The sequence below is a fragment of the Homo sapiens genome, chromosome 10 (genome assembly GCF_000001405.40).
Source record: "Homo sapiens chromosome 10, GRCh38.p14 Primary Assembly".
Classification (NCBI taxonomy): domain Eukaryota; kingdom Metazoa; phylum Chordata; class Mammalia; order Primates; family Hominidae; genus Homo; species Homo sapiens.
The window spans coordinates 101522204-101537895 of record NC_000010.11 but is presented as its reverse complement, the minus strand read 5'-3'; the positions used below and the strand labels follow the sequence as shown (position 1 = coordinate 101537895).

Below are 15692 nucleotides of genomic sequence, written 5' to 3'. Positions count from 1 at the left end.
CTTCCAAAAATCTTTTAATAGGCCATGTTTCCTCAAGGTACATAGCAGACAAATTCCAAGACAGGTGGGTACAGATCAAAGCCAGGACAATAAGAAAATATTGTCTTGACCAAGCTGGAACATGTCACCACACTCTGAACAATTTCCCAAGGTTGTAACAGTGATGGCTGTCCCAAAGCAGAAGAAGTGAGCAGTCTACACTTCCTGCTGCTTGCATTGGCTAATGAATGTATCAGTGTAGTTAACTCATGAACTAAAATAATGTTGTTAGTTTCTGATATTTAAAAAGCTGCCAAAATCAGGCAGATTGACAAAAAGAAATGATAAGAGTTCTTCCTAAGTGAATAACTATTTTTTTTTCTTTTTTTGAGACGGAGTCTCGCTCTGTTGCCCAGGCTGGAGTGTGGTGGCGCAATCTTGGCTCACTGCAACCTCTGCCTCCCTGGTTCAAGCAATTCTCCTGCCTCAGCCTCCTAAGTAGCTGGGATTACAGGCGCCCGCAACCACACCTGGCTAATTTTTGTACTTTTAGTAGAGACTGGGTTTTGCCATGTTGGCCAGGCTGGTCTCGAACTACTGACCTCAAATGATCCACCTGTCTCGGTCTCCCAAAGTGCTGGGATTAAATGCATGAGCCATTGTGCCCAGACTACTTTTGTTTGAATTTACTCTGTGTTTAGGATTGGTGGACATGGGGTCCATTCACAAAATTAATGGATTCCATAACCACTAGAAATTAGAAGAAAATAAAGATGACTAAACTCATAAATGAAATGCTAGGATGACAAGTGATGACAAGAGAACTGTACTCTTAAAAATTACTCAAAGAGATAAAAAACCCAAGAAATCAAAATTCAAGATCTTACCACACTAAGTCCCCAAATACTGCCCTCTAGTGTTTCTGTTTTGTTAACAGGTTACCCTTTTACATGGGTAGCCTGTTAACACTGGGTTTTTCTTGTTCTTTGCTTTACAGGGCAAAACAGTCAAATACATAACCAAATAACCAAAATATGAATGACAACCATGTGCAAACAAGTATAATAAAATGAATGGGAAGAATATTTCAGGACACTAAACCAAGGAGAGGTAAATACACGGATTAAAGAAATATGGTATCAGATATTTTGTGTAAAATCTATAAGCTTTTAGAAACAAGGAATGGTTATGTTTAACACCATAAACATAAGGAAGGATTAAGACGTAGATTTTCTCTTTTTTACACTCTGTTAGCACACTCACCCATCATAGGCCCCACTGACTATCCTCTTGTTATCAAATCGAATACAACGCACCAATTCCTCATGGCCTTCTAACACTCGTAAACATGCACCACATTCTATGTCCCATAATCTGGAAGAGAAAATTAAGTCAGGTGAATTTTCACGTATTCTTTTCTAAGCCTGGAATGTTATAACAATACACCTCATATGCCTTCTAAAAATTCATAAAATAAAATCAATCACCACCCACACAGATATGTACTGCTTTCAATGTAATTTATTTCCTTTCTGCTATATAACTCACACAGAAATATGTAGGTTTAAGTTCAAATGTAAAATGTATTTTCAAAGCACAGGGCTTTACATAATTCTGTAAACAGGTTCTTCCAGGCATAAAAACGAATTCAATGCACGCAGTTGCCTGAGAAGGAAATGACCAAGCTAAGAAAGCAGTTTCCTGAAGTCACCAAACTGAAAGAGATACAGATTATCAGTGATGTCCTGTTCTCACAAAGCACCTCCCCCTCTGCCACGGCAGACACTTCTTTCACCACTGTCCAGGACAGCTCTTCTCAGAGAATAGAAATGCAAAGTCAGTTCTCAAGAACTTTTGTGTACTAATTATAAAAACTGTACGTTTTCAGAGCAATTCAAGTGATTTCTAGGAATAATTTCCTTAGATATAACAAACAGTAGCTCTTTTTTAATGGCCTTTTCATCCTTTTAATACTTCACTGAAGGGAGAGGATGGATAAATCTTCCAAATTATAATCATATCTATGTCATTCATCTTTGTGAAGGGAAAACCCCAAAAAGGACTTCCAACTGTGAAATCTTCATAATTTCAAAGACAGGTAACTCTCTGGCCAATTATGTAATGCTAAGACAAAAATTACATAATTTCTAGTAAGGAAACAAATCTTTCTTTTCATTTCTTAAAAACAATGGCAAAGAAAAGGCTGTTAGCTGTTTATTAGCACTTTTCAACGGTAGACAGGAGAAATTTAAAAAGAAGGGCAACAAAAGGCTTTGCTGTGCTGCTTCTCTGCCTGGGGCAAACTTCTGACCTGTAAGAAGCTACAGAAAGGAAAAACAGTTGATTATAAACATAACAAAATTGAAGACTTGTATGATCTGTGCATTAATAATGAATGGGAGCATAATATTGATCCCTTATGATACAAGGCACTTGCTGCTCACCTGATAGTGTTGTCAGATGAGCCACTCACTACCAGCCTGTCCCTGTACTGCAAACAGGCAATGCCTCGTTTGTGTCCATTTAAGGTCCTTACAAATTCACAAGTACTTGTGTTCCATACCTGAAAAAGAAAATGGCATTGAGCAGTTGATTTGGTGCTTTTATTGGTAAAATCTATGGCAAATGGAGTCTTAGAGAAGCAGAAAACAGGACTGAACCATTAGAGGGAAGTCTTCTCAAACAAATAAAACAAAGGACAATTTAAATTCATGGTAACAGAGGCTAATTTGCAGTTGGCTGTTACCACATGAGAATTCCTCAGATTGATTTACTCTTCTAGGGTTAGTCTCTTCTCACACTCACCACTATTTATAGGAATAAAATATCTAGGATAAATTGTCACACAACGTCTCACTTATTACACCTTTTCACTTGTAGACTAGTCTCTGAATTAAATATTACATTTTTCTGTAGCAACGTTTAAATATGAAATTGCCCTTGATCAAATTTTCATATGAATTCCCCCATTCTAAGTTGGAAACTTACTGAAAAATGCCTTATTACCTTTATAGTTCTATCCCCAGATGCAGAAACAATGTACTTGTCATCAAAGTCTACAACATTGACAGCAGCTCGGTGTCCGACCAGCACCCTCCGGAGGGTAATGTCAGTTGGGGAGGCCATATCCCATACAGCAATGGAACGATCTTTGGAGCAGGTCACCATCATGCCATTATTGAAACGCAAGTGCAGAACTGCTTCACAATGGTGAATCAACGTGTTTAGCATTTCACCTGTATTTACATCCCACACTCTGGAAGTGATAGATGAGATTTAGATGGTACTCAAGCTACAATCTGTTACCTATATTTGACCATCATGCGCCCTTCCACCCCTTATATTTAGAGAGAGGGCCAGACTGGGAGAGTGGGAGAAGGAAGGGGATGGGATGCTGCCAGTGTGTCCTTAAGACATACTGCTTGAAATATGGGCAAGTTGTGGAGGGCAAGGATGAAGTGGCAGCCACTGTCACCTAATAATTTGGCCCAGACTTGAAGACTGTAAAACTTCTCACATTCAATTTGATACCATTAGTAAGATACATTTTAAATGAGGAATCTGATTAATAACAATAGCATTAGTGCCCATTCCAATGATAGCCCTCAGGAGCCAGAAATGAAATAGGCCAAGATGCTTCTGTCACATACTTAGTAATGTGAATTTGAGTTTGATTACCCTGGATCTCAGGTTTTATCATAAAGGTCAAAGGCCAAGATAACCATGACTCTAATTCTAAGCCCCCATTTCTGTGTTCTGAAGTGGGTAGGGGTTTAAAATAGACCCCCCATTGTAAATATGGGCTTCACAGCAGAGTGTGGGGCCCTTGGATAGCTTGAGAATTTTGTGTGATTATATATTTTGATTATTCTATTTTTGTGTATTTACTTAAGGTTTTATAACATGTTATTTCCTTTTTTCCAGTTTAGCCCCCTTTTATAGAATATCATTTTTTCTTTATCTTATAAATGATGTTAGCACCTGCAGTGTTTTAGATTCTGTGGGGCACTCACTCCACAAGCACCAATAAATGTTAAATGTCAGTAACTACAAGGGCCAAGTTTGCTATGCCTTGCTATGCCTTTAAGTCAAAAGACAAAAAACAGGAACCGTCTTTTCTATTCACAGAGGATAACTTGGAATGGTAAACATTTAACTTCAGAGTATCTAACAATGCACTTAACCGCTTTTTTCCTAGGTCTATTTTTTTTTTAAAGTTACTTTTGATGCATTATGTTTGCTAAATCCTTTAGCTTACGGCAAAATTCCTAACAGAGGTTCCCAGCAGTGCTGCTGGTACCCAGAACTCAAGCTATCCTGGACTCCAGCAGTATAATGGCTGTGTCATCAAATCACTAATGCCTCTGGAAATTGAGGGCCCCTACCTGAGTGAAGCTTGCAATTAAAAACTGCAGGGATGGCAGGGGAGGGGCTGGCAAAGAGAGCACAGCTCACCTGTACATGTTTCAAAGGAGATAATACAGACCTGCACTACAGTTACCACTACCTGAAAGGAAGGCTTCATTGCATTCATATCATTCCCCCGTGAGGTGGTTTTTGTAAGGAATGCAAAGTTTACCATAAGGATAAGAAAAGTTTCTGTAATAGATGATCCTCCAAATTAAAATAGAATGTGTAGTTTCTTCAATGTGCGAAAATGTAAACTTACCTCAAGCATTTCTAAATCAAGTTTTCTAGTTCTAGACTGACAGAAATGATGGGGACCTGGTGGTTTATTCTTCTTTAGTTTCAGAACTGTGCCGATATATACAAAATTACTATCTATGACAAAGAACAGAGCAGAGCTGATATTTCAGAGTTCAAAAAAGCATTTGAAATTTTCTACCTGACCGTGGAATCCGATGATCCTGTTATGATCACTCTCTCATCATACTGGAGACAGAGGACTGAACCTGTATGGCCTGTGAGAATTCGCTTGCATTCCAATGTGTTTTTATCCCAGATCTAGGATGGCAAATAAGATCCTTTTGATCAATGTGATGATGGGGTGCTGTGGAGACTTGTTGGTCCTATTACGTGTCTGATCCCCCAAAATAATCAAAGCCCAGAGTAGTGTGGAATGCATTTTCTATAGGTATAGCTAAGCGCGCGCGCGCGCACACGCGCACACACACACACACACACACACACACACACACACACACATATAGCTTCAGTACTAATGCAAACTTTTATCCTTTTCATTAAGGAACAGGGTAGTCTATAATTATGTGATGGCCAAAAGAGTAACAGCCCATTCAGTGCATTTCAAGAAGAGAATTTAACCCTAGGACTACCCGTTTGTATAGTGGGGAAGCTGATGTCTGTCCTTTAAGGAAATGATTTTGGCTTTGGGACTGGAAACAATCTAAAATCTTCACTTACTTTCTAGAAATAATGCTTAGAGTTTATGCTTTAGACTGCGCTATGAATGTGGTCACTCTTGCTCCCTCTGCTACCTTTCTACAACTGAATAGACCTCACCTTGATTGTGTTGTCTCGAAGGCCGCTTACTATTTTCTGATCATCATACTGTAAACAGTAAACTCCTTTGCTTGTTTCACTTCGGCAGTGAATTCTCTGTAAACTATGTCTTCCACATCTCCAATTAGATTCTATTGTCTGAGAAGAAGGAATGGGAAAGAGGCAGTGTTAGGAAACACCTAGAATCAAACTCTTTTTAGGCTTTAATGACAATCAATGGCTCAATGCTTTACTCTATGGGATATACACAACTTAGGGAAAACTAAAAAATGTCTTTAAAAGGCTACTATCTATATTTATAAAATATTCTTCCTTTTGCAAGGTAATTAAAGGTTGTTTCCTAGAACTTCCCTGCCTATAATTTGTTCAATTAAATAATAAATCTGGTGGAAAGAGACTACTCATCAAGAGAAGAAAAGCTACGAACTACGTGAGGTTATACACTCAGTGCTCTTACATATGTGATGGCCATTGCTACTGATTGCTACTGATGAACTTCTAAGGAGGTTCAATTCAGAAGATATTTAAATATGAGCTTATGAGTACAAGTTTACCAGTCACACTGCTATGTATGAAGGGATCAATCTCTTTAACTCTCTCATCTACTTATTAGTAAACCATTTTTTAAAGCTTTAAAATTTTGCCTAGCAATTTATTTTACCTACCCTACTCGCCTGTAAAGAGATTGATTTTCTTTTCCTTTTCTTTTTTTTTGATGGAGTCTCGCTCTGTCGTTCAGGAGGGAGTGCAGTGGTGCGATCTTGGCTCACTGCAACATGTGCCTCCCAGGTTCAAGTGATTCTCCTATCTCAGCCTCCTGAGTAGCTGGAATTACAGGTGTGTGCCACCATGCCTGGCTAATTTTTGTATTTTTAGTAGAGACAGGGGTCTCACCATGTTAGCCAGGCTGGTCTCAAACTCCTGACCTCAGCCTCCAAAAATGCTGGGATTACAGGTGTGAGCCACCATGGCCAGCTAAGAGATTGATTCCCAACTCATGTCAATAAACCTTAATGGGCTTGCTGTAACCATACTGTGACTGAAGAATGCTGATAATTCTGTGCCCTTGGGCAATACCCCAAAATACATAGATTCTTACCTCAATGTCTTGTATAATTTTAGGATAAAGTGCTCTATAAAAAGAGTTGGGAGGAGCATTCCCGTCAGGAGGTTTGTTTTTGAATAAATACTGTCCCCTAAAAAATAACAAATATTTCCCAGTGAAAATCATGACATTATATATTTAAATACATATATATTTTGAGACAGAGTCTCGCTCTGTTGCCCAGGCTGGAGTGCAGCAGTGTGATGTTGGCTCACTGCAACCTCCGCTTCCTGGGTTCAAGTGATTCTCCTGCCTCAGCCTCCTGAGTAGCTGTGATTACAGTCATCTGCCACCATGCTGGCTAATTTTTGTATTTTAGTAGAGATGGGGTTTCACCATGTTGGTCAGGCTGGTCTTGAACTCCTGGCCTCAAATGACCCGCCTGCTTGGCCTCCCAAAGTGCTGGGATTACAGGCGTGAGCCATCACACCCGGCCGACATTATATATTTATAAGGAACTTCATATATTTTGAAAGTGTTTTCACGGTTACCATTCCATATACTCTCCATAGCTGTCTGCGGAGGAGCAAAGGTAAGCCTGATTTCAGGAGTCCCATGTCAAAGAGTAACCTTCTGGGCTCTAAAGAATCTGACCAACACTGATTTGCTTTTGGGTAAAACATGATTATTTCCAGTGTAGAACATCGGAGTACCAAGCCTTTAGGAATATTATAATATCAGTAAACAAATGGAATATGTACAATCAGAATTCATCTATTGCTCTATTAAGACTACTGCTTAGATTCACTGGCCTCATCTTTTGGAAATTTTGTTAGTAATGGTAACTATTACCTTTGAACTAGCACATGCCCTATAGGTTTTTTTTTTTTTCCCTTTTACTGTGTCAGTGGTCCCCAGCATTGTAGACAGCAGCAATGCCTCTGGCATGGAGATCACTTTTGCTAGGTCTTTATTTGTACAGGGTAAGGTGTGGTGGCTGCTCAGTCACCCAGGCTGCTGCTAATCAGTGCAACTATGCTTTGAAAGGAGCAATTCAGTTCATTTCATCAGAAAACAAAAGGATCACAGGTGTGTCCAGCAGCAGCTAGGGAAGAAGAAAAAAAAGAAATGCCTAAGAGCACTGCTATCAAGTCTAAGGCATGAAACTGACTTTCACAGGTGTGTTCCTGGCTGTGTACATACACATGTACTTAACTGCCTTCCCTGATTCCAGTGAGCAACATTTGTTAGTATCTCCTTCCTTATGACAGCACATCTCTGGAATACTCGTATCCCAAGCTAGATCTTTGCTACAAAAAAAAAATCAGTAAATGGCAATCACTTCCTGCTGGGTAAAAAATTTAATTCCTCATCCGGAAGTTAAGAACCCACCAAACACGGTGTGGAAGCTAGTAAACCCCACTATGGGTGTACTAACTGCTGTTCTCACTGGCACCGTGCCTTGCAAAGTGGAGAGAGGCAGAAATGCCTCTGAGTGTAATCCTGGCACCAGAGAAATCATGTTTTCTCTGGGCCAGTCATCCACTCCTCCCTCTATAGCTCCATTACAATATAATTAATTGTTTGGTGTCTCCAGGAGTGTTTCTCCCCTGCCCTCTCCCTGTTATATACCCTGAAAATTAGTTGAGAAAATTTCCTATCAGGAAGGTAGATGGCTCTAACTTCTGTGTTAATACAGAAAAGAAAATCTGAAATAGAGAAGTGAAAATAATACTTATAAAAAGGGGGATTAATGAAACATGATACACCAGCATAAACAAAAGGGGAAACAAGATGCGTTATGAAAGAATTCCAGATTAATGGTACATTTCTCTGTACAATATTATTCTACAAACACTTTGCAGGCAAATAATAGATTTTGAATGTGAAGATTTTAAGTCTGACTCCTGAGCCCACCCACATTCTTAACTACTTTATTGTTTCTCAATGCCCACCATTCCTGAGATTCCTGTCTTCTTTTAATCTCTAGCACTCCAAGACTTTCTTCCTATGCAATGATACTATCTACATTCTAAGGAAAGAGAACTCACATAAGCTTCTGATCTTGTTTTCCACCTCACTGCATTTACCATGTCTTGGTAAAGTATCTGAATTTCTTCAAATCAAAGTGTTACAGAAAGAGGTGGCTAGGTACTGAAAACTGGCTTCTGTCTTTATGTTTTAAGTCAAAACCTTTTATGATGGAAGATCTTTGAAAACAGGGACTACTTCTATGTGAAATGCCTAGTACCTACAAGAATGTGAGTACATGATAAACGTTAAATATTAAATTCAGAATGTTATCATAAAATGTGATCTGCTGATTAAGAAAATTGACTTTTCCCAAGTGGTCTTTTATTATACTTTTAAGAGTTACCATTACTGAGCAGACAGCATATTCAGTATTATTCAAGAGAGAAAACTACAGAGTTCATGTCCCAGGGGAAGACTGTCAAATCCATCTAGATATAAAATACAACATCAAATACCAAGTTAAAACTTAGAGATAAAAGCTTTATTAGAAAACTGTATTTACTTACTATTTTTGGTTAGTAGAAATGGAAGAACCTTTCAAAGCTAGCATATGGGGAAAAGTATAACACAGAAAGACTTTATTGACGTATTAGGCTTGGTAAGACAACTTGAAAGAAGAAAATGAGAAACTGATGGAGTAAATTTTTTTTTAAAAAAGGGAAGAAAACTGACACAGGAATAAAGTCAACATGTAAAAACAGAAGCAGCAACAAGAAAGTCGAGGGAATAATGGAGGAAGTTGACACGGGATGTATAAGTATTTGGAATTTCATGGGTTTATCATGGGATTAAGAGGATAAACATGCCCAAAGACAAGGGGATATAGTCAGAACTCTGAAGGATACTCAAAAGAGCGGGAATGGGTTTCTGTGGATAAAGAGATAGGGGAAAAAAGTGGTAATTAGTGCTGGATCCTGGATTACTTCACCTACCCTTTAGAAAGGCTCAAAAGCCATCTTCTCAATGATTGTTTTTTCTTTGTAACTAACATAAAAGATCTTGCCATTTAGTGCCAATCCCAAGCAAAACTGTGGAGCCTTTTACCTTTGGCATTTTCACATCCATCTGCCAAGAACTGCCCACTTACTTCTTGATCTTTCTGCCTTCAAAAAAGGACTCAGTAAACTCCCAATTTATGATGAAGGTTTACTGTCATTTACAGTCCAAATGGGAACACAATGTATTTTAACAGGTAACAGAACCTTTATAGCTAAAGGAATGAATCTCCTTAACTGAAATTTCAGGAGTTATTTGGAGACGAGATTCTTTTTTTCTGAGGGATACAGAAATCTTCTCAGCTGCCCTAAAATTTTCTCATGTAAGCAACTGCCTGCTGTATCCCCAAGGCTGGTCCCAGCACTCTTAGCAAAATGATGGACCCCGAATACCATATAACTCCATTTTTATTTGCTTTGTTGTACTATTAAAGAGTTTATTTCCAAAGTATGAAGTAGGTTATGAAAGATTTCTATTTTTCTATGTAGCGAAATAAGAATTAAAAAACATATTTGAGAAGTAGTAATAATATTCTTTTGTGTGTGTGTGTGTGTGTGTGTGTATGTGAGAGAGAGAGAGAGAGAGAGAGAGAGAGACAGAGAAAGAGACAGGGTCTTGCTCTGTTGCCCAGGCTGGAGTGCAGTGGCATGACCACAGCTCACTGCAGCCTCAACTTCCCAGACTCAAGCCATCCTCCCACCTTAGCCTCCTGAGTGGCTGGGATTACAGGCATGCGCCACCAGGCCCAGCTAATTTTTTGATTTTTTTGTAGAGATGAGGTCTCAATATGTTGCCCAGCCTGGTATCAAACTCCTGGGCTCAAACGATCCTCTTGCCTTGGCCTCCAAAACTGTTGGGATTACAGGCGTGAGCCACCCCACCCGGCCAACAATATTCTTTGTTACACAGCCTAAAAATTGCCTAGTTTTTTTGTTCCTTTAATTCAATTTGAGAGAAAAATTTAAACAGTCTTCCTAATAGCCAGAATGATAAAAATCTGAGGCATTTGGTATAATATTTATAGGTCATTGTATTTATTATGTGTTAATAAATTTCAAAGATAGAAAAAAAGAAAGAGAGCCAACTACTTTTTCATGAAAATTCAAAGGAAAGCTGGCCCATGAATATTTATCTTTTAAAAGTGTTCTCTACTTTTAACTGTTTTCCTCTTTATGATCCAAGATAAACAACTGATAAAATTAATTTGGAAGGACATCACTAAGCACACACATGCCTATTATAATTTTTTCTGTCAATGAGAATATTTAATATGTCACCTTTATTTGTGAACTATTACTACGTAGCTTTCCTATAGTGACATTCTAGAGACATACTCTGAGAGAAAAGTATTTAAAGAAAGATATCTTTCAGAAGTTCTAATGAAATAGTACTGTTAAGAGAACAACAAAAAAATTAGTGAAGTCTCTTAGACTGCTAACTATATGATGCTTTGGGGAATTCGGAATTAAGTCAGAAAATCTTGAAAAACAGAAGTCTTAAGAAGAAACAATGATTTATACTTAATTTCATTTTCACTTTTTCTGATGGCTAGAGTTCTTATTCCACTTGGGCTTAAAAATAATTTTTGATTACAAAGGTGACAAAACACCAGAGGCATAAGATAAAGGCAAGAAATTTTCTGAAAGAAACCTAGGGTTCATGCGATTCTCCTGCCTCAGCCTCTACAGTAGCTGGGATTACAGGTGCACGCCACCATACTCGGCTAAATTTTGTATTTTTAGTAGAGTTGGGGTTTCGCCACGTTGGCCAGGCTGGTCTCAAACTCCTGGCCTCGAGTGATCTGCCCACCTTGGCCTCCGAAAGTGCTGGGATTGCAGGCGTGAACGCACTGTGCCCAGCCACAGGATACCAACTTCTGCCCAGATAACAGAATGTTTTAAACAGGAGGGCTGATCAGCTTTCCATTATTTTTTGCAAAGCAGTATTAATACAATATCATGTCATTTTGTGAGTGACAGGTAAGAAGAAAAACTGCTGAGTATATGAACATTTGTTCTCTGTTACATTTTAAGCTAGAAATCAACAAAATCACCATATTAAATGAGAAGTGGTCTCATTGGCTCCCCAAAAATCTTTCAGTGACTGTGAATGGCCAGGTCCTGAAGCCGTATAAGAGTAAGAAAAGTTAAAGGCTCACCATCCTCTTCGTTCTGCCAGGCCTCTCCACAGAGAATCTGTCCTGACCATTCTCTCGATAAGCTTCTTCCACAGCATGCCATCAGAGGTCACTCGGTACCATTCCTTGCACACAAGTTCAGCAGCACATAGTGATTTGGCATCCAGGTATGACAGAATGTTCTCAGCAATATGATCCAATCCCCGAGCTTTCAGTAGGGGGAGGAGGCAAAGAAAAAGAACACAGAAGGTGGCGAATGATTTTTTACAAAAGGTCCTTTAAAACAGAACAGCATTTGTTCTGCTATGAAGGCACATCATTGTCCCTAGTGTGGTCCAGTTTCTTTTTCAAACAGAGGCTTGGGTAAAATGAGTGTCAATAATTTTTCCATAAGGTTACAGAAATGAACAGTATTTTCCATCTTCCTTTAGATAAGGAAGTTAAAGCTAACAACCAGCAAACCCCCCAAGACATTAAAAATAAAAAGGATTCCAGAAAACAATTCACATCTATCTATATGGATTTCAGCACTAGGGGATGTTCTATGGATGGCATCTCAAACTCTATGATTCAGACCCCCCCAAATCTCTATATTAGGTCCATTTCTCATTCTGTTTCTATTACTGCTGTAGTTCCAAAGCTGTTCGGTAAAAGAAATGTCCTTTAAATGTACTAGGGGAGAGGCACTAAGTCAGAATGTGCTGGGTTATAGAATTTTGGGCATGCAGAAAGGAGAGAAGAAGGAAATACAGAATGGCATGGAAATATCCCAAGAGAAAGACAGAGATGTATGTTTAAGTTCAAGAATGGGTTTAATTTCAGATTTAAAAAAACTATATTTGAGAGTAGCTGCTGCTATAAAACCTAAATGACAGTTGGGCAAAAATGAAAAAAAATTCCAGACCAAAAGATAACTTGGTTAGCATTTCAGAGAATATTTTGTAGGAGGTGCAGAGGAAAACAGTGGAGAACAGATCTTGGGGAGTGTAAACCAGAAGGGCTTCCCAATTAAAGTTCTCCACCACCCAAATCTGTACTGAGGTCTCAGAAGAAAAGATCCTATAAAATAGGATGATCTCACTAAAAAAACTTCTTTTGCCTGCTGTTCTACATTTACAACTGAGATAAAAACATTCAAAGTTATTTCTGTTTACAAAGTACATATCAGAGGTTTTCTACAGACTTAAATAGTTCAGAAGGATTCCTTCATACTCTCACTCCCGTAGGCACAAACTTAACAAGAAAGAGAACATGGCATTTCATTTTGGGCCTTTCCCCTGAATCATATCATTTTAATTATAAAGATTGTATGGATATCAGTCACACTTTTCAGCAGACTTGAGAAAGAAAGCATTAAATGGATTTTGTTTGGCTGGCATCACATGTTCGTATGTAAGCATAAGCAGATGGAGACATGCATTACCCAATTCTTATTAAAGGAACATGAACAAAAGCCAATTAAAGATATAATAATTAGTTCTTCATGTTAAATACAGTAATGGTACAATTTATATTAAAACTTTCTACACCATCAGAAATTTCCAAAATGCAGTCCTGTGTTTTTAATGGGTGCCATCAAATTGTTCCTGATCATTTCACCATGTACCTATAAATAAGTCTTTGGAAGTAATTTCACCTAACACTCCAAACAAACCCATTACATTAATGGACTACAGGCACTTTTTGAAGTAGTTTGGTTTACTAAACATAGCCAGATGGTATATAGGTTTATAAGTTTAAATGGCCATAAAGCATTAGATTGATGATTTAATACCTCATAGAGTGGTCAGTGGATACAAACCAGGGATCAATATTAGGTAAAGGATACACAGGTCTAATCAACTCCTGTTCAATTCTTAGTGGTATAAGCTTGAGATAGTAACATGTCTCAGTGACTGGGGAGAACAAAGTAATGAGGTACACACAGACTGTTTTGTACAAAGAAAACTATTTGCCTATGGCTAAAACAAAATCCAATGAGTAAAGAGGGGGCAAAAATCTATTCTGTTTAACAAAAGATATAGGTAAAATTCAGTTTTTATAGTGGTTATTCCTAAGATATAAATAGGTACTTCTTTTGTTTTAAACAGCAACTTAAATTCCTAGTTTAGAAAAACAAAAATTTTAAAAAGGTATAATTGGCAAATATAAAACAAAGTAGTATTAATAGTTGGGAGGCTATGAGCTGGTATATTTTTATTAGGGGATAGTTTGGCACCATGTATTAAAAGCCTTAAAATGTTCACATTCCTTAATATATAGTGATTCTATGTCTGTATTTTTTCCCCTAGGATTCCTACAAGATTAATGTATAAAAATTCATCATCATATGGTTTATAATATGAAAAAATTTTGAAACTACCTAAATGTTCAATAAAGGGGTTAAATAATATGTGCTTCAACCATTGTGAAGAATATTATGCAACAACTGAAAAGTATGTTTTGAGAACACAAATTTAGAAAAATACATTAAGAGAATGTATTAAGAAAAAATGGTCACAAAACATTTATGATCAAAGCTTTATAGGCAAATACACATACGTAGAGAAAACAGGCTACCTGCCAAAATATTAATAACTTAGCAAATCAGTAGTTCTTTCTGAATGGTGGGGTTCTAGGAAATGTTTTTAAATATTTTCTAAGTTTCCTATAACTTCTATAATTGGAAAACAACAACCAAAACCCCTCCCCTAACAAGGTAATGATATTTAATATAAGATTCATTCATGCTGGTATGATTTTTTTCTCTTAAAATAAACTTTGAATACACAAGACTCCTATTTTCCTGAAATAGCATTCCCCCCAAATACTGACACCTTGGCAGTGTTCTTGTCTGCCCTTAAGCATTCAGAAAAACCACAGCATCCTCCAAAAAAATGATTTTATGTATCATTTTATATTTATTTAACACCACAACAAGGCTTATGAGATATCCTTCTTTCTAAAAACTTCAACTAAAAACGTTTCTTAGTCATCTGTAGAATTTATTTATCTATTTATTTATTTATTTATTTTCTGAGATGGAGTCTCGCCCTGTCGCCCAGTCTGGAATGCAGGGGTGTGATCTCAGCTGACTGCAACCTCTGCCTCCTGGGTTCAAGCGATTCTCCTGCCCCAGTCTCCCAAGTAGCTGAGATAACAGGTGTGTGCTACTACACCCAGCTAATTTTTGTATTTTTAGTAGAGACAGGGTTTCACTATGTTGGTCATGCTGGTCTCGAACTCTTGACCTCGTGATCCATCCACTTCGGCCTCCCAAAGTGCTGGAATTACAGGCCTGAGCCACCGTGCCCAACCCATCTGTAGAATTTAAATATTCTGTTGATATATTCTCATAGAAATACAAATCCAAGTACATAAACATGAACTAAGACGTGTTATTATAAAAGACACATCTTACACCAGGTAACACCTCAGAAAAGATTTTATTTGGACCTATGTATGGGTAAAAATAGGTTGAATAGAAGGGCATGAGTAAGAAGATAGGTAAAAGGAGTCTTGGCTGGGTACGGTGGCTCACACCTGTAATCCCAACACTTTGGGAGGCCAAGGCGGGTGAATCATTTGAGGTCAAGAGTTTGAGACCAGCCTGGCCAATATGGTGAAACCCCGCCTCTACTAAAAATACAAAAATTAGCCAGGCATGGTGGTAGGTGCCTGTAGTCCCAGCTACTCGGGAGGCTGAGGCAGGAGAATTGCTTGAATCTGGGAGGCAGAGGTTGCAATGAGCCGAGATCGCGCCACTGCACTCCAGCCTGGGTGACAAGAGTGAGACTTTGTCTCAAAAAAAAAAAAAAAAAAAAAAAAAAAAGGAGTCTTTATTTCTAGAGTTTTTTTTTTTTTGTTTTTTTTTGTTTTTTTTTTTTTTAAAGCTTTATACCAGCTGGGCGTGGTGGCTCACGCCTGTAATCCCAGCACTTTGGGAGGCCGAGGCAGGTGGACCACGAGGTCAGGAGATCCAGACCATCCTGGCTAACATGGTGAAACCCCATCTCTACTAAAAATACAAAAAATTAG

General features: G+C 38.1%; 1 protein-coding gene across 15 annotated transcripts in view; it reads right to left on the bottom strand.

The window, feature by feature from the left end:
- BTRC (beta-transducin repeat containing E3 ubiquitin protein ligase) overlaps positions 1-15692 on the bottom strand; it is a 203266-nt gene that overhangs the window by 19418 nt on the left and 168156 nt on the right. For 14 of the 15 annotated variants that reach the window (XM_047425986.1, XM_006718054.3, XM_017016870.2 and 11 more), the window contains 7 exons: positions 11697-11883; positions 6563-6659; positions 5464-5601; positions 4826-4944; positions 2986-3235; positions 2424-2542; positions 1243-1353 (listed from right to left, as the gene is read on the bottom strand). In XM_047425986.1, the coding sequence (XP_047281942.1) occupies positions 1243-1353; positions 2424-2542; positions 2986-3235; positions 4826-4944; positions 5464-5601; positions 6563-6659; positions 11697-11883 (1021 nt within the window). Of the gene's footprint in view, positions 1-1242; positions 1354-2423; positions 2543-2985; positions 3236-4825; positions 4945-5463; positions 5602-6562; positions 6660-11696; positions 11884-15692 lie in introns of those variants that run through there. The other variant, XM_047425987.1, reaches the window with a different exon arrangement.